At 35.9% G+C, this 27,454-nt stretch overlaps 1 protein-coding gene across 9 annotated transcripts in view; it reads right to left on the bottom strand.

Annotated features, from left to right (window-relative positions):
• Nucleotides 1-27,454, bottom strand: part of PALS2 (protein associated with LIN7 2, MAGUK p55 family member) — a 120,742-nt gene that overhangs the window by 42,252 nt on the left and 51,036 nt on the right. For all 9 annotated transcript variants that reach the window (NM_016447.4, XM_011515425.3, NM_001303037.2 and 6 more), the window contains 3 exons: nt 10,074-10,226; nt 2,178-2,330; nt 1,230-1,457 (listed from right to left, as the gene is read on the bottom strand). In NM_016447.4, coding sequence (NP_057531.2) covers nt 1,230-1,457; nt 2,178-2,330; nt 10,074-10,226 — 534 coding nt within the window. The remainder of the gene's footprint in view (nt 1-1,229; nt 1,458-2,177; nt 2,331-10,073; nt 10,227-27,454) is intronic.

The following is a 27,454-nucleotide window of genomic DNA, read 5'->3' as shown; positions in this document are numbered from 1 at the left end:
ATTTACATGCTAATATTAATGACTAAATAATCTATCCTTACCTTTGAAAGAACAGTTTAAAATAGACATTCAATGAAATGTTATTTCAAATAACTGTATGGAAATGTAAGAACTAGACTTTTAAACTCTCATTTTAACAATATGAAATAAGATACACTGGCAGTATCTTATGTAAGAAAACTTATAATTTCATTCATACATCAAACAATAAATTTCTGGAATAAACCTAAGCATTAGAGGCATCTACTTCTACATTACTTAGGCTTGAAAACCCTCTCTTTGGTTCCAACACTCCTATCATAATTTTCAATTCTTCCTCCGCAATTTCTTTTTCTTTCTTTACGGTTCCATTTCACCACTACTGCGTCATCACCACAGCAAGTGCAGCCACTTCTTGAGCACTCATTATGTGCCAGGTGTTGCTGTGAGAGCATTACATGAATTAACTCGTTTAATCCTCATAACAATCTTTTGAGAAAACAAATTTTATCCCTAACTATATAGATGAGAAAAATGAAGCACAGAGAAGGTAAGCTGATAACTGGCAGCACTGGTATTTGAACCTAAGTGGTCATCTTAACCATTCATTAGAGCTGTTGTTCACAAATCACCTCACACCTTCAAAAATCTGCCACCTGGTTACATAATCTCATCTCTCTTCTTTTTGAATTCACTTAACATACCGAGTCTAGACAATCTCTATAACTAAAACATTTTCCCGTTCAATTACCTAGTTTACCTAAAATTAGTTTTAAAATACAGATCAAATGTGTGCAAACCAGGGGTCCAAGATTTTCTTTATACCCATCCTCTTTTCTGGCCTCATCAGTCATTTCACCCATGACACAAACACTAAGCTGGAGGTGATCTGGACTGCATTTTTATCCTCTCCCAGGGCCTAATACAATGCCTGAACATAACAGCTGTCAGAAATGTTTACTAGATTAGTAATTCAAAGACTTTATGGTTCTTCTGATACCTAGCTGTAGGTTACTATTATGCCAGGGTTCCTGGTGTTAATGAAGAAATCTACTATTTCCTTTACAATAGTAAAATAGCATTGTTTAAAAATTCAAAAATTCACCCATGACAAAATAAGCCATTTCAGAACACTCAAATCAATTTTTTCTCTTTTCTTTAGCAAAATAGTAGCAACTGATAGTTATTTCCAACACTGTGATTAAAAACATGAAAGTATTTTTAATACTACCAAAAATTTTATTACTAACCTGTTGAGGAGTAATGGTATCTCTATAACTTGGTAAGATTTTTAGGGTGACACTTCCACTAATATTTTTCAGTAATTCTTGTAATTCCTTTGGATTATTTCCAACCTCATGGCCATTGACTTCTTTAATTATATCTCCCACATGAAGTAGACCTTGTCGATCTATCATTCCCCCATGGAGGATTCGGGCAATTACCAGATCATTATTTTCAACCCTAAATGTCACACCCTATGAAAAATAAGAAACAGATTTCTCATTAATTATTAGGGAGAAATGCTTAAATATTCATGAGCATATGTAAGAAAATAATTCTAAAACTAGGTAAAATGAATCATTCTTACTTTTCCCATGTTCTCTCCTGTCTCAATATTTCACTCCCATTAAACTGTGTACTAGTATAGTTTATTACACTAGTGGATAGGATGTATCTTACAGGCTAAATGGAAACTCGAGAGAGCAGGAAAAGGTATTTGTGCATTCTGATGGACTTATTCCTGGCTTTTCCTTTTTTGCACTCACTGTTCTTATAGTCAGGATCCAGAAGTAATAATTTTACCAAGGAATAGTAAACTTCACTACTTAGAGAGTCCTAGTATGGCTTCAATTTTTAATAACAACTTCTTTTTATATTTTGATACTGTCAGTATTTCTTCAAAGGGTAGTTCATGTCTTCAAAGGGTAGGAAGAAACATAATAGTCATCTTCTGAAATTTTTTGCTACCCCTTGCCATATTTCTACTTCTAGCTCAGTTTAACTTTTCATTTTAGTTAAATTTTGCAGGCTAAACCAAGTTGAGAAAGCATCAGCTGTGTCTTTATACACAGGCCAAACAAGAATACAGTTTTCATAACATTATGAAAAGGAAAAAAAATGAAACAGAGTAGTGACTGAACCACAAATTATGTCATATTTCAGATTTAATAGGGTACTGATTTATCTGTACTCACCAGTGGTTCCCCAGCTCTTTTGTGAATACCAAGAATACGAATGGCATCTACTGGTAATAACTGATTATTGATAGAAGAATTATTCATTTCTGGGCTTGATGGAGGTGAATCATAACACTTTGATGCCACAATATCATGGGCCTCCAACAGTGACTATAAGGAGTCAAAATAGCCTGTGGTTATTTATGATATGTGGATGAAATTTGTTACTAAAAGTACTTTGTTATTTCATTATTCCAATGGAGTACTAAAAATTTCCAAGGCACATGGTATTAAATTCCCAAATATCAGGTTGATCAAATAAATATATAATTTTTAAGAGATATAAAAATATATAGTTTTATTATCATCAAACAATATTATATTCCTTCTTTGAGATATGAAGAGATATTAGTGATGCTTTTTAAAAACTGGCAAGTTCACTGGAAACTGAACCTAGGTTTCCAGTCTGGTGCAATGAAGGTACTGGGTTTTATTGCCACCACTGTCATCATATCATTCAATATTTACCATCAATCCTATTTACTAAAATACCATAAAAATTCAAATTCAAATGACATTTTTACCTAACATTGCTATGTTAGTAATATGATATACTTTTTATATGTAGAAAACGTCTGTTAAAAGATGTCCAACAGAAAATGGATAAATATTAGCATCTTATATCAGTGACAAAAAATTTTATATTACCAATAAAGGTTTTAGTTTATAAAAGGAACATTTTTTGAGCAAAAAAACAAGTCAGTAATAGTCCCGAATATAACGTATTTTTTTTACCTCCTATACTTACTATGTATGTGCTACCAGCATGGGTGGTTTTGATCTAGCTTTCTAGGAATTGCTTTTTTTTTTTCTTTTTTGAGACAGAGTCTCACTCTGTCACCTAGGCTGGAGTGCAGTGGTGTGATCTCGGCTCACTGCAACCCCCACTTCCTGGGTTCAAGTGATTCTCCTGCCTCAGCCTCCCAAGTAGCTGGGACTACAGGCGCATGCCACCATGCCCAGCTAATTTTTTGTATTTTTAGTAGAGACGGGGTTTCACCGTGTTAGCTAGGATGGTCTCGATCTCCTGACCTCATGATCCGCCCACCTCGGCCTCCCAAGGAATTTCTTAATTAATACTAAAATGTTAAATTTTTTTTCATTTCTTATCCTAAAAGAATAATTTTTAGGGCAGGCGCGGTGGCTCATGCCTGTAATACCAGCAGTTTGGGAGGCCGAGGCAGGTGGATCATGTGAGGTCAGGAGTTCAAGACTAGCCTGGCCAACATGGCAACACTCTGTCTCTACTAAAAACACAAAAAATTAGCTGGGCGTGGTGGTGTGTGCCTGTAATCCCAGCTACTCGGGAGGCTGAGGCAGGAGAACTGCTTGAACCCGGGAGGCAGAGGTTGCAGTGAGCCGAGATTGCACCATTGTACTCCAGCCTGGGCAACAAGAGTGAAACTCTGTCTCAAAAAAAAAAAAAAAAAAAAGAATAATTTTTACTGCAACTGTGCATATTCAACATAAAGATAAGTTAACATTCTTGAGGGGCTGGATAGAATTCAAGTTCAAAAACAATAAATCAAAATAGAAAGAAGCAAATATTAACAGGTTCGGGAAAAAAGCAATCAGGATAATTGGTAATTTCTGGTCATTTCATAAAACAATTTGTGAAACACTGGAGAAAAAAATTCAATAAAACAACTCATAAATCCATATGTAAGGATTCTTCCTATAAATGCTGGAAGTTGCTAACCTGCGCTGCTTAGTTTTCCACCCTATATCCTCCTTTGGCAGTTTCATTTACTCCTGTGACTTGAGCCACTACTTATGCATTGACAACTCTTAAATTTCTATCTCTAGTTCAGAAATCTCATGTGCTTCAGATTTTTATAGTAAAAATTTGCCCACAACTCGTCAAAGTCACGGCAATTTGAAAATCAAAAGTAGGGATTGTAAAAGATTAAAACACTGAATAAAAAATCCATAGATCCACAATGCTATTTAAAAAAAGACTGAAAAAACTCATTTGTTACCACTTGAAACTGCAATTTTAAACAGCTCTTCACTTTGAAACTTAGTAAAAGGAAGGATCAAGTACATTCCTGCCTCTTCAGTAGAAATGCACTAAGCAGCCCAGTTGATGAGAAGCTCTACATTATGGAAGAATACTAGCTAATAATGTAGAACAGAAAAACGTCATTTTGCAACCTCTAATGAAAATTCTGATTTACAACCCAAAAGCTAGAATAAGATGAGAAATAACAAAAATTAGAGCTGAGCTGAAGAAAACTGAGACACAAAAAACCTTCCAAAAGATCAATGAGGCTGGGCATGATATGATGGCTCACGCCTGTAATCCCAGCACTTTGGGAGGCCGAGGTGGGCAGATCACCTGAGGTCAGGAGTTCAAGACCAGCCTGGCCAACATAGTGAAACACTGTCTCTACTAAAAATACAAAAATTAGCTGGGTGTCACGGCACGTGACTGCCTAGTCCCAGCTACTTGGGAGGCTGAGGCAGGAGAATTGCTTGAACCTGGGAGGTGGAGGCTGCAGAGAACCGAGATCGTGCCACTGCACTCCAGCCTGGACAACACAGTGACTCCATCTCAAAAAAAAAAAAAAATTAATTAAATTAAATTAAAACAACAACAACAACAACAAAAAATCAGAATCCAGGAGTTGGGTTTTTGAAAAAATTAATAGACAAGCCACTAGCTAGACTAATAAAGAAGAAAAGAGAGGAGAGCCAAATAAACACAATTAGAAATGATGAAGGGAATGTTACTACTGAACCCACAGAAATAAAAACAACCATGAGAAACTACTATGAACACTTCCATGCACACAAACCAGAAAACCTAGAAGAGAGATAAATTCCTAGACATATACAACCTCCGAAGACTGAGCCAGGAATAAATTGATTCCCTGCATAGACCAATAACAACCTCCGAAATTGAATCAGTAATAAATAGTTTATCAACCAAAAAAAGCCTGGGACCTGATGGATTCACAGCTGAATGCTATCAGATGTACAAATAAGAGATGGTACCATTCCTACAGAAAAGCTATTCCAAAAAACTGAGGAGGAACTCCTCCCCAACTAATTCTATGAGGGCAGCCTCATCTTTATATCAAAACCTGGCAGAAACACAACAGAAAAAGAAAACTTTAGGCCAATATCCTTGACAAACATTAATGTCAAAATCCTCAACAAAATACTTGCAAACCAAATCAATCGGCACATCAAAAAGCTAATCCACCATGATCAAGTAGGCTTCATCCCCAGAATGCAAGGTCTGTTCAACATTTGCAAATCAATAAATGTGATTCATCACATAAACAGAACTAAAGACAAAAACTACATAATTACCTCAATAGAGCAGAAAAGGCTTCCAATAAAATTCAACAACCCTTCATGTTAAAAATTATCAATTAACTAGGTATTAAAGGAACATACCTCAAAATAATAAGAGCCATCTATGACAAACCCACAGCCAACATTATACTGAATGGGCAAAAGCTGGAAGCACTCCCCTTGAAAACCAGCACAAGACAAGGATGACTTCTCTCACCACTTCTATTCAACATAGTATTAGAAGTCCCAGCCAGAGCAATCAGGCAAGAGAAACAAATACAGGGCATCCAGATAGGATGAGAGGAAGACAAACTATTTCTGTTTGCAGATGACGTAATTCTATATATAGAAAACCCCATAGTCTCAGCCCAAAAGCTCCTCCAGCTGATAACTTCAGCCAAGGATACAAAGTCCTTTGTATCCTTCCGAATGATACAAATTTTGCAGGATACAAAATCAATGTACAAAAATCACTAGCATTCATATACACCAACAACAGCCAAAGGAAGAGCCAAATCAGAAAGGCAATCCCATTCACAATTGCCACAAAAAGAATAAATTACCTAGGAACATAGCTAACCAGGGAGGTGAAAGATTTCTACAATGAGAATTACAAAACACTGCTCAAAGAAATCAGAGAAGACACAAACAAATGGAGAAACATCCCGTGCTCATGGATAGGAAGAACCAATATTATTAAAATGGCTACACTGCCCAAAGCAATTTACAGAGTCAATGCTATTCCTATCAAACTACCAATGACATTCTTCACAGAACTAGAAAAAAATATTTTAAAATTCATATGGAACCAAAAAAGGGCCCGAATAGCCAAGGCAATCTTAAGCAAAAAGAACAAAGCTGGGGGCATCACATTACCCAACTTCAAACTATACTACAAGGCTACAGTAACCAAAACAGCATGATACTGGTACAAAAACAGGCACATAGACCAGTGGAACAGAAAAGAGAGCTTAGAAATAAGGCTGCACATCTATGACTATCTGATCTTTGACAAAGCTGACAAAAACAAACAACGGGGAAAAGACTCCCTATTCAATAAATGGTGCTGGGATAACCAGCTAGCCATATGCAGAAGATTGAAGCTCAGCCCCTTCTTTATATAGTACACAAAAATCAACTTGAGATGGATTAAAGATTTAAATGTAAAAACCCCAGAAGACAACCTGCGCAATACCATCCTGGCCATAGGAATGGTCAAAGATTTCACAACAAAGACATCAAAAGCAATCACAACAAAAGCCAATATTGACAAATGAGATCTAATTAAACTGAAGAGCTTCTGCACAGCAAAAGAAACTATCAACAGAGTAAAGAGCCTACAGAATGTGAGAAAACATTTGCAAATGATGCATCTGACAAATGTCTAGTATCCAGCATCTATAAGGACCTTAAACAAATACAAGTTCTTTGCCCATTTAAGTGGGCAAAGAACATGAACAGACACTTCTCAAAAGAAGACATACATGTGGCCAACAAGGATATGAAAAAAAGCTCAATATCACTGATCGTTAGAGAAACGCAAATCAAAACCACAATGAGACACCATCTCACACCAGTCAGAATGGCTATTATTAAAAGGTCAAAAAATACCAGATGCTGTTAAGGTTGCAGAGAAAAGGGAACACTCGTACCTTCTTGGTGGGAATGTATATTAGCTCAACCACTGTAGAAAGCAGTATGGAGATTCATCAAAGAGCTAAAAGCAGAACTACCATTTGACCCAGCAATCCCATTACTGGGTATATACCCAGAGGAATATAAATCTTCCTACCATAAAGACATGCATGCAAATGTTCATTGCAGCACTATTCACAACAGCAAAGACACAAATCAACCTAAATGCCTGTCAATGATAGATTGGATAAAGAAAATGTGATATATATATATATACACACACACACACCATGGAATACCAAAAAACCTTTCAAAAGATCAATGAGGTTGGGCAGCCATAAAAATGAGATCATGTCTTTTGTGGCAACATGAATGGAGCTGGAGGCTATTATCCTTAGCAAACTAACGCAGGAACAGAAAACCAAATAATGCATGTTCTCACTTGTAAGTGGGAGCTAAATGGTAAGAACTTATGAACAACAAGAAGGGAAAAACAGAGACTGGGGTCTACCTGAGTGGGGAGGGTGAGAGAAGGGAGAGAAACAGACAAGATAACTATTGGGTACTGGGCTTAATATCCGTGTGGTAAAATAATATGTACAACAAACCCCCATTACATGTGTTTACCTATGTAACAAACCTTTACATGTACCCCTAATCCTAAAACAAAAGTAAAAAAAAAAAAAAAAGAAAAAAGAAAATATTGATTTAGGCAAGGATTATTAACTTGTGTTCATCAGTAGGTACATGGTTGATAGAGAACAGAATTTGTATAATGTTAAGATAAAAACACAATTGATTACTTCCCAGTAATCAAAGAAAGGATTAGGCCATCACCACCTTTAATCAAAGGACCAATCTCAGCCCTGTGGTGGGCCAAAAGGTATTACACATCTTCTAATGCAGTTTAATTCATGTTGCATCGTATCACTTAAGATGTATTCTAGCTCCAAATAATCAACTTGAATCATCAACTTTTTAGATAGAACTTCTGTTTATAGGAAATAGAAGAAATAACATCAACACCACAGGGAAGTAACTAAACAAATCCGGGGGTGGAACATTCTGCAGGACAATAGCCTGGTCTTTTCAATAGGTCAATGTCATAATCAAGGGGAAAAGGTATGGTGCAACCAGCTGCCACACATGGACCTAAACTGGACACTTATATGTACAAACCACCTGTAAATAATATTGTGGTATCAAATGGAGAAGTCTGAATATGGTGTGTGTATTATATGAGATGGAAGTTCACTGAAACAGAAAATTAGAAATCAATAACTTAAAAAAAGAGTAAGTTAAAACAGTTTGTGCAAAATCTCAAATTAGTAAAAAAATTATATATGTACATTTGTGCATAGAAAAATATGGATGAATATGCGCTAAGAGTACAATAGTGATCTGGGTAGAAGAAAAGCAATGTCTTCATTTTTGTATTTTTATTTGCTGGTATTCTAAAATTTTTATATGCTACACTTCATATAATGTATGTGCTTATATATTTATTAAATTACAAATATTTACTAATAATAAGTAGCATTCCTGAAAACCTAGATGCTTCCAATGTATCACAAACCTAAGGTGGCCAGTTTCCTTAACATAAGTATGTCCAAAACATTTTCTTCTAGTGTTCCTTACCTCATTCAACAGCCATCGTTTAAGTCATAAATTGTGTTATCAACTTCCCACATCTCTCTTCTACAACTGTCATATGCAACCAATCACTATATCCTGTTGATTTTATTCATTAAAACTTGAAAGTCTTTAAATTTCTATCTATACGTACTGCCATCATAATTTCTTGCCTTGGAACTTAACCATCTCATTTCACAAACCTGACCTTTCCCTGGTTAATACCCAACCCATCCTCCTTTCCTATTCATCTCCCCCTCCACACCTAAAGTTTCCCATTGTCCTTACGATAAAGTCCAAATAACTCAGTATGCCTTTATAAGGACTCAATCAACTGGGACCTGCACAGGATATGTCTCTGAGATATGTGTCCATATTTCTTTTGTACCTAAGACACTAATTTATGTCGGAACCATCTCACTATAAACCTTCATATTTTGCAGTAACATTGTTGAAGAGTCACATAAAATCTTTGGCTGAGAAAGAGCAAAAGGCTGTTACCATTTGATTTTCAGTGCTAAGATTTGCAGGGGAAAGCAGGTGACATTTACTTTATTCTATCCCAGCACCATTCTTTTTCCACGAAAATGCAGTGTCCCAGTCATAAATCAAGTTACCATATACGGCTGGATGTATTTATCGGGGATTTCCATTCTTTTCAATGAGTTAATTTTTCTAACACCTTCCCCAATACCACACTGTCTTAATTATTATACGTTTACAAGAAATCTTTCCTGTCTTTTCTCTTCTGAAATGCATTCTTCTTTGTAAAACTGATGAACTCTTCATTGGTACAGGCCATTGCTAAAATCATACTTATTTCTGTACCTGTGGAGATTATGTTATACAATAGTTTCTATACTTCACAGCTCTCTATGTTCCATGGTCACTGACTGCACAACAATCTTGAGAAGCAATACTAAAAAGTATTGACTAAGAAACAGAATGGGAATGAGGAAGAAAAAAATCCATTATCATAGTGAGGAAAATGGCTCCAGCATGTGGTCTGACGGTGAATTAAGGTTGTTTTCTTTAATGGCACAAAGAAAAATCCATTGTGATGTATTTCTGTAACAGTGTACATTTATGTAGCATTATTGTTACATATGTCTCTTTATATATCCTCAGCATATGAGGACATTAAAATACCAAGGTTGGAATTTACATACTTACCTATTATAGCCCTAAATAATCTTTGAAGAAAACATCACCTTAAACTGGAAAGTAAAGGAGAATACTTTGGGAATACAGGGAACTTGAGAGTTGAGTGATAGGGAAAGTTACCTGGAAGTGAGGTTCTTTGAGTATACCAACCAATTCTGCCACATTTTCATCCACATTTATTAGAGGAGTGATGTCTTCAAGAATTTCATTGACTAATTCCAAGTTATTGTCACTGACAGCTTCTAGTTTGGAATCTTCTAGCCTCTCATGAGCCTGAAAAAATAAGAGTATATTAAAGTAGTAATACTTATTTGTTATTTGCACCAGACCATGGTTTATTTCTTTTTCGTAAAGTTTTAAAATATATTACTTGGAGATTTAATTCATGTAAACCAAATTTAATACTTCAACCAGAGGCAATATATAGATTTTACAGTAAGTATATCATGCAATATAATAAATCTTGGCCTCTAGTTCTATCCTGAAAGTCATGAAAAACTCATTTTTATAACTAAACCATGAAAAAACTGGACAAGTCAGCTAATTATTTACAAAACCTATTACAGTCCCTTACCACCAAGAGAATTTCCTAACGACCTCCTAGGGTCAAGGCTCAAACTCTAGATGTTATTGTTACATTTTATTAAAATAAATGATTAAGCATAATAAAAACAAGGAATAGGAATGTAATAATTATATGTTAATATTTTTTAAAATGATAAAAATAATTTTGGAAACCCCAGAATCTGGAAGCTCCTATCTTCCAATGTTGAAAATCAGTGGAAAAAAAAGTCAATTTAGAGCAAGTGGCCCTTAAACTGGATTTTAAAAGACTATATAATTTAATCAGGGAAATGATCATCTGTCTTTATAAGTAAAGTTGTTTTTTTCTTAATCTCACAATCTTTTCCACAGAAAATAGACCGTCAACCACACTGTCACAGAAAGTAAGTAATTCTTTTTTTTTTTTTTTTTTTTTTTGAGATGGAGTCTCGCACTGTTGCCCAGGCTGGAGTGCAGTGGCGCGACCTCAGCTCACTGCAAGCTCCGCCTCCCGGGTTCACGCCATTCTCCTGCCTCAGCCTCCCAAGTAGCTGGGACTACAGGTACCCGCCACCAAGCCTGGCTAATTTTTTGTATTTTTAGTAGAGACAGGGTTTCACCATGTTAGCCAGGATGGTCTTGATCTCCTGACCTCGTGATCCACCCGCCTCGGCCTCCCAAAGTGCTGGGATTACAGGCATGAGCCACCGCCCTCGGCCGAAAGTAATTCTAATCATCCTTTCATAGTAGGAGTAAAGCCGAGTGTTAAGTTCAAATTGAGAATGAACACTAAGCGGCTCCAACTTTTAAGCATTCCTTGCTTTTCTGATAAATGGTTGCTATACAATTCTGAAGACAGGAAAAGCGTAATTATCAAAATTTAATTCATAAACAAAACCATGTAAGATAGCAAATCTTATATTTTAAGATCCATTTCAAGGATTGCTAAAGAAAAATCCACATTTCAAGTGGTAACAGTATCAACTAAACTTTTTCAGATACCTAAACTATCATACTTTAGATGTTATTTTTACCATAGAGTGGATCCTTCAGAGTCCAAATAAAACATTCTAATTTTTAAAAGACAATTTTTCTTGCTTAAATCTATTTTTTCTAGGTAATTCACAGGAGTAAAATAAGTTCTTAAGTGGAAAAGAAAGCTATATATTAAGCAAGATTTTAAAGAAAGACCTTAAAAGAAGAAATTCTAAAAGTCATATGAAATACCGAGAAAGAAGAAAAAACTCTTACTAAACAAAAAGAAAAATATCAAAAGACCAAAAGTAATTGAAATAGAGGAAGAAGTTTTATGAGATTTAGATTAAAAAAATTAAACTACAGTGGCTCATGTCTGTAATCCCAGCACTTTGGGAGGCCAAGATGGGCAGATCACTTGAGCTCAGGAGTTCGAGACCAGCCTGCCCAACATGGTGAAACCCCATCTCTACTAAGAATACAAAAATTAGGCAGGCATGGTGGTGGACGCCTGTAATCCCAGTTACCCAGAAGGCTGAGGCAGGAGAATTGCTTGAACCCAGGAGGCGGAGGCTGCAGTGAGCCAAGATCATGCCACTGCACTCCAGCGTGGGTGACAGAGACTCCGTCTCAAAAAAAAAAAAAAAAAAAAAAAATTAGACTAGAAAATGCCACAAAAAATGAAAACGGGTAAATTTGTAATTTTCTGAACATATAATACAAGCCAGATAAGGATGAGAAGATGAGGACACTCAATATTTATCATAAAAGACTATCACCATTGGAAAAAAAAAAAAGAAAATAATCTACAGAATTAGTTAACTCTTATGAAATAAGCTAGAATTGCCAATTGTTTAGATAGAAATATTTGCTGGAATAAAAAGCCACTACCTGATTTAGCATCTTTAACCTTGTAATACTCCAATTCTTTTAACATAGTATAAAAAGAAAGCTTCAAAGGAAAAAAAAAGGAAGGAAAGAACCTTAACATCTATTGAAGGGCTTTTTTTTCTGCGTTGGATACTATATTCTAAGTAGTGTGTGTGTGTGTGTGTGTGTGTGTGTATTCAGCAAAGGTAGGTATATTATACTCACACTATGGACGAAGAAACTGATGCAAAAAAAGGTGAAGTGATTTGCGTGAGTTCACATTACTGGTGAATGGCAGAGTCAAGTAGTCTAACACCAAGACTTGAACTCTCATCTATTAAAGCTTACTTTACTTCATCTTTATATAGAGAGCCACTCTAACATTAAATTGCAGTTAATTATTCAATCCAATAAATGATGCATTATTCTCATTCACTTAAATGTATGACATACATCTCAGTCAGTCTAATTTAGTTGTTGCTGATTAGCATGGCTCTTCCAGTCTAGATGTGTTAATTCCATTACACCGTATCTATCCTCACAGTTATTTTATACTTCTATGGTTCAGAATACCACTCGTCCCTTTGACTTTCACTCCTTTGCTCTAAGTAAGAGCTATGAAGACCATTTATTTCTTCAGGAAAATGTTATATGATCAGCAACAGTACTTTAGACAACAGTAGTCCTTGGTTTAATTCAGGACTTTAGGAGAAGTAAAGGAACAGAAATGATCAATGACTTGAAAACTCCATTCCTTAGTATGTGTATTAACCTAATGCTTCCAAATTGGGTGAGGAGAAGTAGGAATGTGGAAAGACTAATGGCAAGGGGTTGGGGGTCAGGGGAGAGTCATGTGAGAAGGCAGAATCATGTTAGAAAAAGAACCCAAGCACATCTGAAGATTTTTTCATATCAGCCTCACAGTTTGGTTCTATGGAAGAAGAGAATCTCACTAGAAAATACAGAAATTGGCCGGGCGCGGTGGCTCACGCCTGTAATCCCAGCACTTTGGGAGGCCGAGGCGGGCGGATCACGAGGTCAGGAGATCGAGACCATCCCGGCTAAAACGGTGAAACCCCGTCTCTACTAAAAAATACAAAAAATTAGCCGGGCGTAGTGGCGGGCGCCTGTGGTCCCAGCTACTTGGGAGGCTGAGGCAGGAGAATGGCGTGAACCCGGGAGGCGGAGCTTGCAGTGAGCCGAGATCCCGCCACTGCACTCCAGCCTGGGCGACAGAGCGAGACTCCGTCTCAAAAAAAAAAAAAAAAAAAAAAAAAAGAAAATACAGAAATTGAAGGGAGAAAAAAAGGTTTTTTTAGAAACTGTAGCTATAAATATATTAACATGGAAAACCAACATACTTGGATTCAACTGGGATCAATTTTACTTTTTCTAAGAAAGCAAATGCAGGTCCACATTTATTAACATATAGCTTTTTAAGCTCTGAGATGTTGTCAAAAACTTGGAACCTCTAATTCACTTTAAGGTCAGATTTTTTTTATTAGCTTTCAAGAGGCAAGTACCAACTTAAATTTAACTAATCAAACTAAAAAAGACAAAGGAAACACACACAAAAAATAACCAGAGGAGCAAGTGAGCCACATACTATTTAAATAAATAAATCTTGTTTTCTTTTTTTAAATTAAAGAGCACTATTGCAACACTAGCATAACTCAATAAAAATATATTTCACTTGCCACAAGTGGTTGGAAGAACATTCTATGACTGGCATTGAGTATTTGCAGCTGATACAAATATGGCCTAGCCTTCTTAAATATCCAGTTCTGAGAATTTTATTCACCACTGCACCTTTGAGAAATGAACTTCAGAGAAGAAAATGTTCTTTCAGAACTTCTGGGTATTTCACTCAAGGACACTCCAACCATGCTTGCAAACAAAAGTTGTGGGCTATATCTAAAGTGACAAATATTATTTTCTAATAACAATCATATTATTGTTATGTGTAGAAACCTGGTCTTTCTAAAACACAAGGACCATATCATAAATTTTGTTTCTATCTTTTGAGAAAAGAGCTATGTATGTAGTAGTTACTTATTATTTCTTGAAAAAGCTAAGTAAATGGGAAATAAGTTTGGCTGTGATCAAGCACCACCCTCTTCTTTTATTCTAGAGACCTAAAACTCAAGATCAACACAGGCTCACTAATACTCAAAAATAAAAAAGAATTTTTGAGCAGAAAGTAGAAATGAGACAGAGAGAATGGAGAACTCAATTTCTATTTTGTTTCTGCATACATTATATCAAAAAGGATGAGCTTTGCTCTGAAAAAAAAAAAAAAAAAAAGATGAGTAAGTGTAAGTAAATCAGAATGGAATTCTCTAGTGAGTAAAGAACATATCAGAAATTGCCTAGTTAACCAAAATACAAATTCCGAGATTAGATAAGTTACATATCAAGGTACTCAGGAAACTTCTAAATAGCACTGCTGAGCTTCTCTTAGATATATCTGTAGAATCAGGAGAACCACACAGATGTCAAAAAACCAGAAAAGGGAATCTGTTAAATTTTTAAAAGAAAAAACAACATTTTAAAAGCTTGGCTTTAATAGTATTCAGAGGAAATACACAATAACCTTTTTATAACCTTTGAGTGGGAAGGATCTTTCTAACTATAACACAAAATCTGAAAGATACATACATTATTTCAAAAAAGGCCCAATAAAATTAACTTAATGAACGTTTTAAATTTCTCATCAAAAATCGACAAAGTCAAAATACAAATGACAAACTAGGGTCAAAACACAAATCATATTCAAGACAGAAAGCTAATTTCCCTACTTACGAAGGACTTCTACAAATCAATAAGAAAAAGATCAACAACTCATTAAGAGAACTGGGTGAAGAGTTTCAGCAAAGAAATTCACAGAAAGAAAAATTTAGGAACCTATCTTTAAAAATTTAATTTTATATTTCTAATTGATACATATTGTACATATTTATGGTGTACAATGTGACGTTTCAATGCATGTATATACATAGTATAATGATCAAATGGGGTAATTACCATATCCATTATTTTAAATATTTATTTCGTTGGGATGCCAACATTCACAATCTTCTCTTCTAGCTATCTTGAAATATGTATTACATAGTTATTTGCAATAGTCACCTACTGTGTATCAAATATCTCTTAAACATATGAAAAGACACACAACTTCACTCAGAAGTACAAACTAAAACTATAATGAAATCCCTTTTCTCTTTATCAGATTGGCAGAGATAAAAATTCTGATAACACATCATGCTAATGAGAATATGGGAGAAGACAGGCACTTTGACATATTTTTTCTAGTGGGAACATACACTGGTAAGCAAATTCACCATATCCACCTAAATTACAGTGATACTTTTTTTTTTTTTTTTTTTTTGAGATAGAGTTTTGCTCTTGTTGCCCAGGCTGGAGTGCAATGATGTGATCTCGGCTCACTGCAACCTCCACCTCCCGGGTTCAAGCGATTCTCCTGCCTCAGCCTCCTGAGTAGCTGGAATTACAGGCATGCGCCACCATGCCTGGCTAATTTTTGTATTTTTAGTAGAGACAGGGTTTCTCCATGTTGGTCAGGCTGGACTCGAACTCTTGACCTCAGGTGATCCGCCCGCCTCAGCCTCCCAAAGTGCTAGGATTATAGGCATGAGCCACCGCGCCTGGCCTTACAGTGATTCTTTTCAGATCTATCCTAAAAAGGTGTGTGTGTGTATGTACAAAATAACATGTAGCAAGATTACACATTACAGCATAACTTGTAAGAAAAAGGCCATCTAAATATCAGCAGGCTGACTCAAAAAACCTGACATATCCATAAAATAAAATATTATGTCACATTTACAAAGAATAAAGTTGTGACACAGGTACTGATATAAAATCTTATGCAAAAAATCAAGGTATAGGATAGCAGTATAAACCCACAACTTCCATTATATTTACTAGTGAAAGATTAGATACTTCCCCTTAAGAGCAGAAACAAGACAAAGATGTCCACTCTCATCACTTCTATTTAACATTTGTACTGGAGGTTATAGCCAGGACAATTAGGCAAGAAAAATAAAAAAGCCATTCAGGTTAAAAAGAAATAAAACTGTCTATATTCAGATGACATGACCTTGTATTTAGAAAATCCTAAGGAGTTCACTAAAAGACTATTTGAATAAAAAAATAAGTTCAGCAAGGATGCAAGATATATAAGATCAATATACAAAAATCAATTATATTTCTATACACTAGCAATGAAAAATCTGAAAATGAAATTTAAAAAACAAATCCATTCATAACAGCAGCAAAAAGAACAAAATACCTAGGAGTATAACTAACAAAACAAGTGCAAAATTTATACTCTGAAAATTATAAAACATTGTTGAAAGAAATTAAAGATTTAAATAAATGTTTATGGATTAGAAGACATCACTGTTAAGATGGCAATACTCCCCAGAACGAACTACGGATTCAATGCAATGCCTACTGGAATCCTAAGTGACATGTTTATAGAAATTGACAAACTGATTCTAAAATTCTTATAGAGTTGCAAAGGGATCCAGAACAGTGAAAACTATCCTGAAAAAGAACAAAATGGGAGTACTTACATTTCCTCATTTCAAAAAGTACTACACAAGAGTTATCAAAACATGATGCTGCCACAAGGAAAGATCTATAGATCAATGGAATAGAATTGAAAGTAAAAAAATAAAACCACATGTCAGTGGCCAACTGTTGCATGTTAAGACAAAGGTGCCCAAAACCACTCAATGGGGAAAAAATATTCCTTTCAACAAATGGTGCTGAAACACCATTTGAAAGTCCAACAAATGGACTAGAGAAGCACATGTAAAAGACAGAAGTTGGTGCCTAACGTAATATCGTATACAAAAAACTAACTTAAAATGGATCCAACACCTAAATGTAAGAGCTAAAACTATAAAGCTCTTCGGAAACACAGGGGTAAATCTTCATGACCATGGATTTAGCAAAAGATTCTTACATATAAGACCAAAATCACAAGGCAACAAAAGACAAAAAGACAACTTGGACTTCATCAAATTAAAAGCTTCTGTGCTTCAGCCGGGCGTGGTGGCTCACGACTGTAATCCCAGCACTTTAGGAGGCCGAGGCGGATGGATCACGAGGTCAGGAGATCGAGACCATACTGGCTAACACGGTGAAACCCCGTTTCTACTAAAAATACAAAAAATTAGCCGGGTGTGATGGCGGGCGCCTGTAGTCCCAGCTACTCAGGAGGCTGAAGCAGGAGAATGGCATGAACCCAGAAGGCAGAGCTTGCAGTGGGCCGAGATCGTGCCACTGCACTCCAGCCTGGGCGGCAGAGCAAGACTCCATCTCAAAAAAATAAAAATAAAAAACAAAAAACAAAAACTTCTGTGCTTCAAAAGGCACTAAGAAGAAAGTAAAAAGATAATCTATATAATGGGAGAAATATTTGCAAATGATATATCTCATAAAAGACTTGTACCCAGAATACATGAAAGACTCTCACAACTTCATAATAAAAATAAATATGACTCAATTTAAACATGGGCAAAGAATCTAAACAGATATTTCTCCAAAAAATATGTACAAATGGTCAATAAGCACATGAAAAGATGCTCAATATCATTAGTCTCCAGGGAAACACAAATCAAAACCACAATAAAATACCACTTCACACCCACTAGGACAGTTAAGAACCAAAAAATCAAATAATAACAAGTGTTGAAGATGATACAGAGATATTAGAACTCTTGTACACTACTGGTGGGAATAAAAAATGGTACAGCTACTATGGATAACAGTCCGGCAGTTCCTCAATGAAACACAGTTACCTACTTATATACACAGGAGAAATAAAAAACTACGTCTACATAAAAGTGTGTCCAAGAATGTTTATGGCAGCAATATTCATAATATAGGTTGAGTATCCCCAATCCAAAAATCTAAAATCCAAAATGCTACAAAATCTGAAACTGAGAATTTTCCTAAATTAATGATGGACACCAAACCACAGATCCACGAGACTCATAGAACACTGTGCAGGATTAAAAACCCCGAATTCTAAGTCTAGGTATATTATATTCAAACTGCAGAAAATAAAAAACAAAATACTGAAACATCGGGGTGGGGGGGGGGCAACCTTACCTGCAGAGGAGCAAGCATAAGAATTATACTGAACTCTTCAGGAAACATGCAAGCAGAGAATAGAGTGAAATCTTTAAATGTTGAAAGAAAAAAAAAAAAAAAAAAACTCCACCAACCTGGAATTACCTATCCAGTAAAGTTATCATAAAAAAGTTAAAAAAAAAAAGGACTTTTTCAACAAAAATTGAGAATATTTGTTACTACTACACCTGTCTTGCAAGAAATGTTAAAAGACATTCATCAGAAAGAAGGAAAATGGTGTAAGTGCAAAACTTGGGTTGATATAAAGACGAGTGCTAGAGAAAAAAAAGGTAAAATAAAATCTTTTATTTTTCTTATTCCTAATTGATTTAATAGATAATAGTTTTATTCACAACAATGTATTTGATTATTATAGCTTATGAATAAATGAATGGCAGCAATATTATATGGGACAGGAAACAGTGTTATTTTATAAGGTAGTTGCACTGTAAGTGGTATGATGTTATTCGAAAGTGTATTAGATTGCAAACGTATACTGCAAAATCAAGGAGAACTGCTAAAAAGTTTTTTTTTTAAAGTCTAACATGCTAAGAGAGAGAAAATTGAAATCACATACAATGTTTAGTTAAAGCAGAGAAAACAAAATGAGTGAGAGACACAAGGAAAAAAGGAAGGCAGGCAGGCAAGCAGGCAACAAATACAAAACAGTAACAGTATGAAAGACGTTAATCGAATTATATCAATAAACATGAAACATCAGTGATCTAAAGCACTTAAAAGAGACTGTTGGCTGGATGCGGTGGCTCACACCTGTAATCCTAGCATTTTGGGAGGCCGACGTGGGCAGATCACAAGGTCAGGAGATTGAGACCACCCTGGCCAACGTGGTGAAACCAGTCACTACTGAAAATACAAAAATAAGCTGGGCGTGCCTGTAATCCCAGCTACTTGAGAGGCTGAGGCAGGAGAATTGCTTGAACCAGGGAATCGGAGGTTGCAGTGAGCCAAGATGGCACCACTGCACTCCAGCCTGGCAACAGAGCAAGACTCCGTCTAAAAATAAAAAAACAAAGAGACTGTCAGAGTGAATTAAAAAAGATCGAATTACATGTTGTCTACCAGAAACTTACTTTAAATACAAAGATATAGAGAGATTAAAACTAAAGGTATGGAGAAAGGTGTATCATGCTAACATTAACTAAAGAAAACTGGAGTAGCTATATTAATTTCAGACAGGGCAGACTTCAGATCAAGAAAAATTATTGGGAACAAAGAGAGGCATTACATAACGATAAGAGTTGATTCTCTGAGATGATATAACAATCTTAGTGAATGTGTGTTTAACAAAAGAGCATTAAAATATGGGAGGTAAAATCTGACAGAACTGCAAAAAGAGATAGGTTAATCTACTATTATAGTTGAAGGTTTCAACATTCTACTAGCTGTACAGGCATAGCTCAGAGATACTGCAGGTTCTGCTCAAGATAACCACAATAAAGCAAATACTGCAACAAAGTAAGTCACACAAATTTTTTTGTTTCCCTGTGTATATAAAAGTTATGTTTACATGACAAGGTGATCTATTAAGTGTGCAACTGCAATATGTCTAAAAGACAATATACATACCTTAATTTAAAAATACTTTAAAGGTTAAAATGCTAAGGATCAGAGCCTTCACAGAGTCAAAATCTTTTTGCCTGTGTAAGGTCTTGTCTTGATGCTGATGGCTGCTGACTGATCAAGGCGGTGGTTGCTGAAGGCTTGGGTGGCTGTGGCAATTTCTTAAAATAAGACAATAATAAGGTTTGCCACATTGATGGACTCTCCTTTCATGAAAGATTTCTCCATAGCATGCAATGTTGTTTGAGAGCATTTTATCCAAGCAAAACTTTCAAAATTGGAGTCAATTCTTTCAAACTGCTCCTGCTTTATCACCTAAACTTTATGTAATATTTGTAATCCTTTGTTATCATTTCAACAATTTTCACAGCATCTTCACCAGGAATAGATTCAATCTGAAGAGACCACTTTCTTTGCTCCTCCACAAGAAGCAACTCCTTATCTGTTCAAGTTTTATCATGACATTGCAGCAATGTAGTCACATCTTCAGGTTCCACTTCTAATTCTTGTTTTCTTGTCTTCTAAAGTCAAGAAAGTGTCATCTTTCATCTAAGTGAAAGTCACTTGTCATCTAAAGTGACTTCCTCCACTGAAGTCTTGAATCCCTCAAAGTCATCCATGAGAGCTGGACTCAACTTCTCCCCAACTCATGTGAATGTTGATATTCTGACCTTCTCCCATGCATCACAAATGTTCTTAATGGCATCTAGAATAGTAAACCCTTTCTGGAAGGCTTGCAATTTACTTTATCCAGATCCATTAGAGGAATCGAAATCTATGGCAGCTGTAGTCCTATGAAATGTATTTAACTAAGACTTGAAAGTCAAAATTACCCCTTAATCCATGAGTAGAAGAGATGTTGTGTCTGCAGGAATGAAAACAACATTCCTCTCTTTGTACATTTCTGTCCGAGCTCTTGGGTGACCAAGTGTGTTGTCAATAACCAGTAGTATTTTGAAAGAAATCTTTTTTTCTGAGCAGTAAATCCCAACAGTGGGATTAAAATATGTAGCACACCATGCTGTAAACAGATGTGCTGTCAGCTAGGTTTTGTTGTTCCAGTTAGAGGGCACAGGCAGAGTAGAATTCGCATAATTCTTAAGGGCTCTAGGATCTTCAGAGTGGTAAATGAGCATTGGCTTCCACTTAAAGTCATCAGCTGCATAAGCTCCTAACCAAAGAGTCAGCCTGTCCTTTGAAGGCAGGTATTGACTTCTCTCTAGCTGTGAAAGCTCTAGATGTTCTTCCAAAACAAAGCTGCTGTGTCTGCATCGAAAATCTGTTGTTAAGTGTAGCCACTGGAATCAATGATCTCAGCTAGATCTTCTGGGTAACTTGTTGCAGCTTCTTCTTCTTTTTTTTAAAAATTATTATTATACTTTAAGTTCTGGGATAATGTACAGAACGTGCATGTTTGTTACATAAGTACAAATGTGCCATGGTGGTTTGCTGCACCCATCAACCCATCATCTACATTAGGTATTTCTCCTAATGCTATCCCCCCTCCCCTTGCCTCCCAAACCCCCGACAGGGATCGGTGTGTGATGTTCCCCTCCCTGTGTCCATATGTTCTTCATTGTTCAACTTACACCCACTTAAAAGAAAACATGCGGTGTTTGGTTTTCTGCTCCTGTGTTATTTTGCTGAAAATGATGGTTTACAGCTCTATCAATGTCCCTGCAAAGGACGTGAACTCATCATTTTTTATGGCCGCATACTATTCCATGGTGTATATGTGCCACATTTTCTTTATCCAGTCTATCATTGATGGGCATTTGGGTTGGTTCCAAGTCTTTGCTATTGTGAATAGTGCTGCAATAAACATACATGTGCATGTGTCTTTATAGTAGAATGATTTATACTCCTTTGGGTATATACCCAATAATGGATTGCTGGGTCAAATGGTATTTCTAGTTCTAGATCCTTGAGGAATTGCCACACTGTCTTCCACAATGCTTGAATTAATTTACACTCCCAGCAACAGTGTAAAAGTATTTCTATTTCTCCACATCCTCTTCAGTATCTGTTGTTTCCAGACTTTTTAATGATCACCATTCTAACTGGTGTGAGAAGGTATCTCATTGCAGTTTTGATTTGCATTTCTCTAATGACCAGTGATGATGAGCATTTTTTCATGTGTCTGCTGGCTGCATAAATGTCTTCTTTTGAGAAATGTCTGTTCATATCCTTTGCCCACTTTTTGATGGGGTTGTTTTTTTCTTGTAAATTTTTAAGTTCCTTGTAGAGTCTGGATATTAGCCCTTTGTCAGACGGATAGCTTGCAAAATTTTTCTCCCATTCTGTAGGCTGCCTGTTCACTCCGATGATAGTTTCTTTTGTTGTGCAGAAGCTCTTTAGTTAGATCCCATTTGTCAATTTTGGCTTTTGTTGCAATTGCATTTGGTGTTTTAATCATGAAGTCTGTGCTCATGCCTATGCCCTGAATGGTACTGCCTAGGTTTTCTTCTAGGGTTTTTATGGTCTTAGGTCTTACGTTTAAGTCTTTAATCTATCTTGACTTAATTTTTGTAATAAGGTGTAAGGAAGGGGTACAGTTTCAGTTTTCTGCATATGGCTAGTTTTCCCAACATCATTTATTAAATAGCGAATCCTTTCCCCATTGCTTGTTTTTGTCTGGTTTGTCAAAGACCAGATGGTTGTAGATGTGTCATGTCATTTCTGAGGCCTCTGTCCTGTTCCATTGGTCTATATATTTGTTTTTGTACCAGTACCATGGTGTTTTAGTTACTGTAGCCTTGTAGTATAGTTTGAAGTCAGGTAGCGTGATGCCTCCAGCTTTGTTCTTTTTGCTTAGGATTGTCTAGGCTATACCGGCTCTTTTTTGGTTCCATATGAAATTTAAAGTAGTTTTTTCTAACTCTGTGAAGAAAGTCAATGGTAGCTTGATGGGAATAGCATTGAGATTATATATTACTTTGGGCAGTATCACCATTTTCATGATATTGATTCTTCCTATCCATGAGCATGGAATGTTTTTCCATTTGTTTGTGTCCTTATTTCCTTGAGCAGTGGTTTGTAGTTTTCCTTGAAGAGGTCCTTCACATCCCTTGTAAGTTGTATTCCTAGGTGTTTTATTCTCTTTGTAGCAATTGTGAATGGAAGTTTACTCATGATTTGGCTCTCTTTTTGTCTATTATTGCTGTATAGGAATGCTTGGGATTTTTGCGCGCTGATTTTGTATCCTGAGACTTTGCTGAAGTTGCTTATCAGCTTAAGGAGCTTTTGGGCTGAGACAATGGGGTTTTCTAAATATGTCATCTGCAAAAAGAGATAATTTGACTTCCTCTCTTCCTATTTGAATACGCTTTATTTCCTTCTCTTGGGCCAGAACTTCCAATACTACGTTGAATAAGAGTGGTGAGAGAGTGCATCCTTGTCTTGTGCCAGTTTTCAAAGGGAATACTTCTAGCTTTTGCCCATTCAGTATGATATTGGCTGTTGGTTTGTCATAAATAGCTCTTATTTTGAGATATGTTCCATCAATACCTAGTTTATTGAGTGTTTTTAGCATGAAGAGGGGCTGAATTTTGTCAAAGGCCTTTTCTGCATCTATTAAGATAATCATGTGATTTTCATCATTGGTTCTGCTTATGTGATGGATTATATTATGCATTTGTGCATGTTGAACCTGCCTTGCATCCCAGGGATGAAGCCAACTTGATCGTGGTGGATAAGCCTTTTAATGTGCTGCTGGATTCGGTTTGCCAGTATTTTATTGAGGATTTTCACATCGATGTTCATCAGGGATATTGGCCTGAAATTTTCTTTTTTGTTGTGTCTCTGCCAGGTTTTGTTATCAGGATGATGCTGGCCTCATAAAATGAGTTAGGGAGGAGTCTCTCTTTTTCTGTTGTTTGGAATAGTTTCAGAAGGAATGGTACCAGCTCCTGTTTGTATCTCTGGTAGAATCTGGCTGTGAATCTGTCTGGTCCTGGGCTTTTTTTGGTTGGTAGGCTATTATTACTGTCTATTTCAGAACTTGTTAGTGGTCTATTCAGGGATTTGACTTCTTCCTGGTTTAGTCTTGGGAGGGTGTTATGTGTCCACGAATTACTTATCCATTTCTTTTAGATTTTCTAGTTTATTGGCAGAGAGGTGTTTATAGTATTTTCTGATGGTAGTTTATATTTCTGCGGGATCAGTGATGGTATCCCCTTTACCATTTTTTATTGTATCTATTTGATTCTTCCCTCTTTTCTTCTTTACTAGTCTGGCTAGCGGTCTATCTATTTTGCTAATCTTTTCAAAAAACCAGCTCCTGGATTCAATGATTGTTTTTTTGAAGGGTTTTTCATGTCTCTATCTCCTTCAGTTCTGCTCTGATCTTAGTTATTTCTTGTCTTCTGCTAGCTTTTGAATTTAATTGCTCTTGCTTCTCTAGTTCTTTTAATTGTGATGTTAGGGTGTTGATTTTAGATCTTTCCTGCTTTCTCCTGTGGGCATTTACTGCTATAAATTTCCCTCTAAACACTGCTTTAGCTGTGTCCCAGAGATTCTGGTACATTGTGTCTTTGATCTCATTGGTTTCAAAGTACTTATTTATTTCTGCCTTAATTTCATTATTTACCCAGTAGTCATTTAAGAGTAGGTTGTTCAGTTTCCATGTAGTTGTATGGTTTTGAGTTTCTTAACCCTGAGTTCTAATTTGATTGCACTGTGGTCTGAGAGATTCTTTGTTATGATTTCCGTTCTTTTGCATTTGCTGAGGACTGACTTCCAATTATGTGGTCCATTTTAGAATAAGTGCTATGTGGCGCTGAGAGGAATGTATATTCTGTTGATTTGGGGTGGAGAGTTCTGTAGATGTCTATTAGGTCCACTTGGTCCAAAGCTAAGTTCAAATTCTGAATATCCTTGTTAATTTTCTGTCTTGTTGAGCTGTCTAATATTGACGGTGGGGTGTTAAAATCTCCGACTATTATGGTGTGGGAGTCTAAGTCTCTGTAGGTCTCTAAGAACTTGCTTTATGAATCTGGGAGCTCCTATATTGGGTACATATATACTTAGGATAGTTAGCTCTTCTTGTTGCATTGATCCCTTTACCATTATGTAATGCCCTTGTCTTTTTTGATCTTTGTTGGTTTAACGTCTGTTTTATCAGAGATTAGGATCGCAATCCCTTTTTTTTTGCTTTACATTTGTATGGTAAATCTGCCTCCATCCATTTATTTTGAGCCTATGTGTGTCACTGCACATGAGATGTGTCTCCTGAATACAGCAGACTGGTGGGTCTTGATTCTTTATCCAATTTGCTGGTCTATGTCTTTTAATTGGGGCATTTAGCCATTTACATCTAAGGTTAATATTATGTGTGAATCTGATCCCGTCATTATAATGCTAGCTGGTTATTTTGCCCATTTTGATTATTAAAAAGGCAGTAACTGCAAAGGGGAATAAAGTGAAATGCAAAAGTATAGGGTTTACCTATATTTCTTCTTCCCTCTCTCCTTTCTTTCTGGAATACAAACTACATATATTAGATATTTTGAGTATGTTTCACATATTGTTATCTTTTTTTCATTCTTTCTTCTCTATTAGTTTTTGCTTGAGTATTTTCTAATAACCTATCTTTAAATTCACTTATTCCCTCTTCTGTTGTGTCTAGTCTTCTATCAGTGAACTAATTTCAGATACTGTATTTTTGATCCTAAAATGTTCATTTGATTATTTTTTATTCTGATTTTCTAAAAATATTTTACATGTTTTTTTCCCTTTTCTTCTACTAAAAGTACATTAATAAGTTATTTTCAAATCCTTGTGTATAAATGCTAATAAAAGAACCATTTATGGGACTGCCTCTGTTGTTTTTCTCATGATTAGTGGCCAGATATTTCTGCCTCTCTGCATATCTAGCAATGTGTGCCTCTTTTTTCCTTCTATTTGTTATACTGAGAGTGCTAGGCTGCTGTGACTTACTATTTCTTTCTTGGAAGCGGAATTCCTCCCCTATTCCTGGGATTTTTTTTAACCTATATTATAGGAATACTGAACTACCATTGTTTTTCCTTATTAAGAATCTGCCTGAATGTTGCATATTATTGGATAACTCTTTGCTTTATTTCATTTTTATCATCAAAAGAGTACAGTAGCACCTTACCTGCTCAAAAGTCATCCAACCATTGCAACTGTTAAGAATAATGAACAAGATAATCCTCTGAAAGACCAACATCAATGGCATAAAATCAGTAAATTTTTACTCCCACCAGTTTTTAAGAATAAGCATACACAAACATACACATACCCCATCACCCGGTGTTGGAGTAGGTAGAACACAGAATTTGATGATAGAACACATGGCCTAAACCTCATCTGTCTTTTGCTAGCAGAGAGACCTTAGACACAACACTTATTGACTGAGTCTTACTTTTCAATTCAAAAGTTGTTGAAAGATAAAACAGTATATTTTAAATTCATAAAGTTGTTGTGAAGACAAAACAGTGTATTTTAAAGACCTTTGCAAACTATAAACATTTGTTAGTGCATTATATAGTTTTAAAATCTATAGATCAAAAGCTATAAATTAAATAAACATGGAGATAACAGTGTAACAGCTACATGGACAATAACTGACAATCAACAGAAAAACATCAAGAAAAGAGTAAAAAACCATTTTAAAAGTACAATAAGAACCCAGGTAAACTATTTAACAGAAATTTAAATAGTTCCTACTAATTTCAACAGACCCTGGAGCTATTACTTTAAAACAGTAGGAATTAATGTTTATGACAAGTTTGAATCTGAAACAATACCCTGCACATTATTATTAAAATATAAAAATATCTAATGAACATTGGAAAGGCTATAGTAAAAAATGACTAAAATAAAAATTCCAGTTGGATGATCTGCAAATGGATTCGTTTCTACTTAAGGGCCTTTATACCATGTGATTTTAGCATAAGTAAACACGTAAATAAAATGAAGACTCTGTATCATTGGCCGGGCCTGGTGGCTTATGCCTGTAATCCCAGGAGGCCAAGGTGGGTGGATCATGTGAGGTCAGGAGTTCGAGACCAGCCTGCGCCAACATGGTGAAACCCCTCCTCTACTAAAAATACAAAAATTAGCCAGGGGTGGTGGCACACGCCTGTAGTCCCAGCTACTCGGGAGGCTGAGGCAGGAGAATCACTTGAACCCAGCAGGCAGAGGTTGCAGTGAGCTGAGATCGTGCCAGTGCACTCCAGCCTGGGAGACAAAGTGAGACTTCCTCTCAAAAAAAAAAAAAAAAAAAGAAGAATCTGCATCATTAATTCACTCTCACTAATAGAAAACCTTGTAAAAGGTATTTTTCAGAGGTCTTGGAAGAAAACAAGTAACAGACTTTGGCTAAGAAAAAAATCACAGAAGAG

Source organism: Homo sapiens, chromosome 7 (assembly GCF_000001405.40).
Source record: "Homo sapiens chromosome 7, GRCh38.p14 Primary Assembly".
NCBI classification, from domain to species: Eukaryota; Metazoa; Chordata; class Mammalia; order Primates; family Hominidae; genus Homo; species Homo sapiens.
Note: the sequence above shows the minus strand (reverse complement) of the source record. Positions and strands in the feature narration are given on the sequence as shown.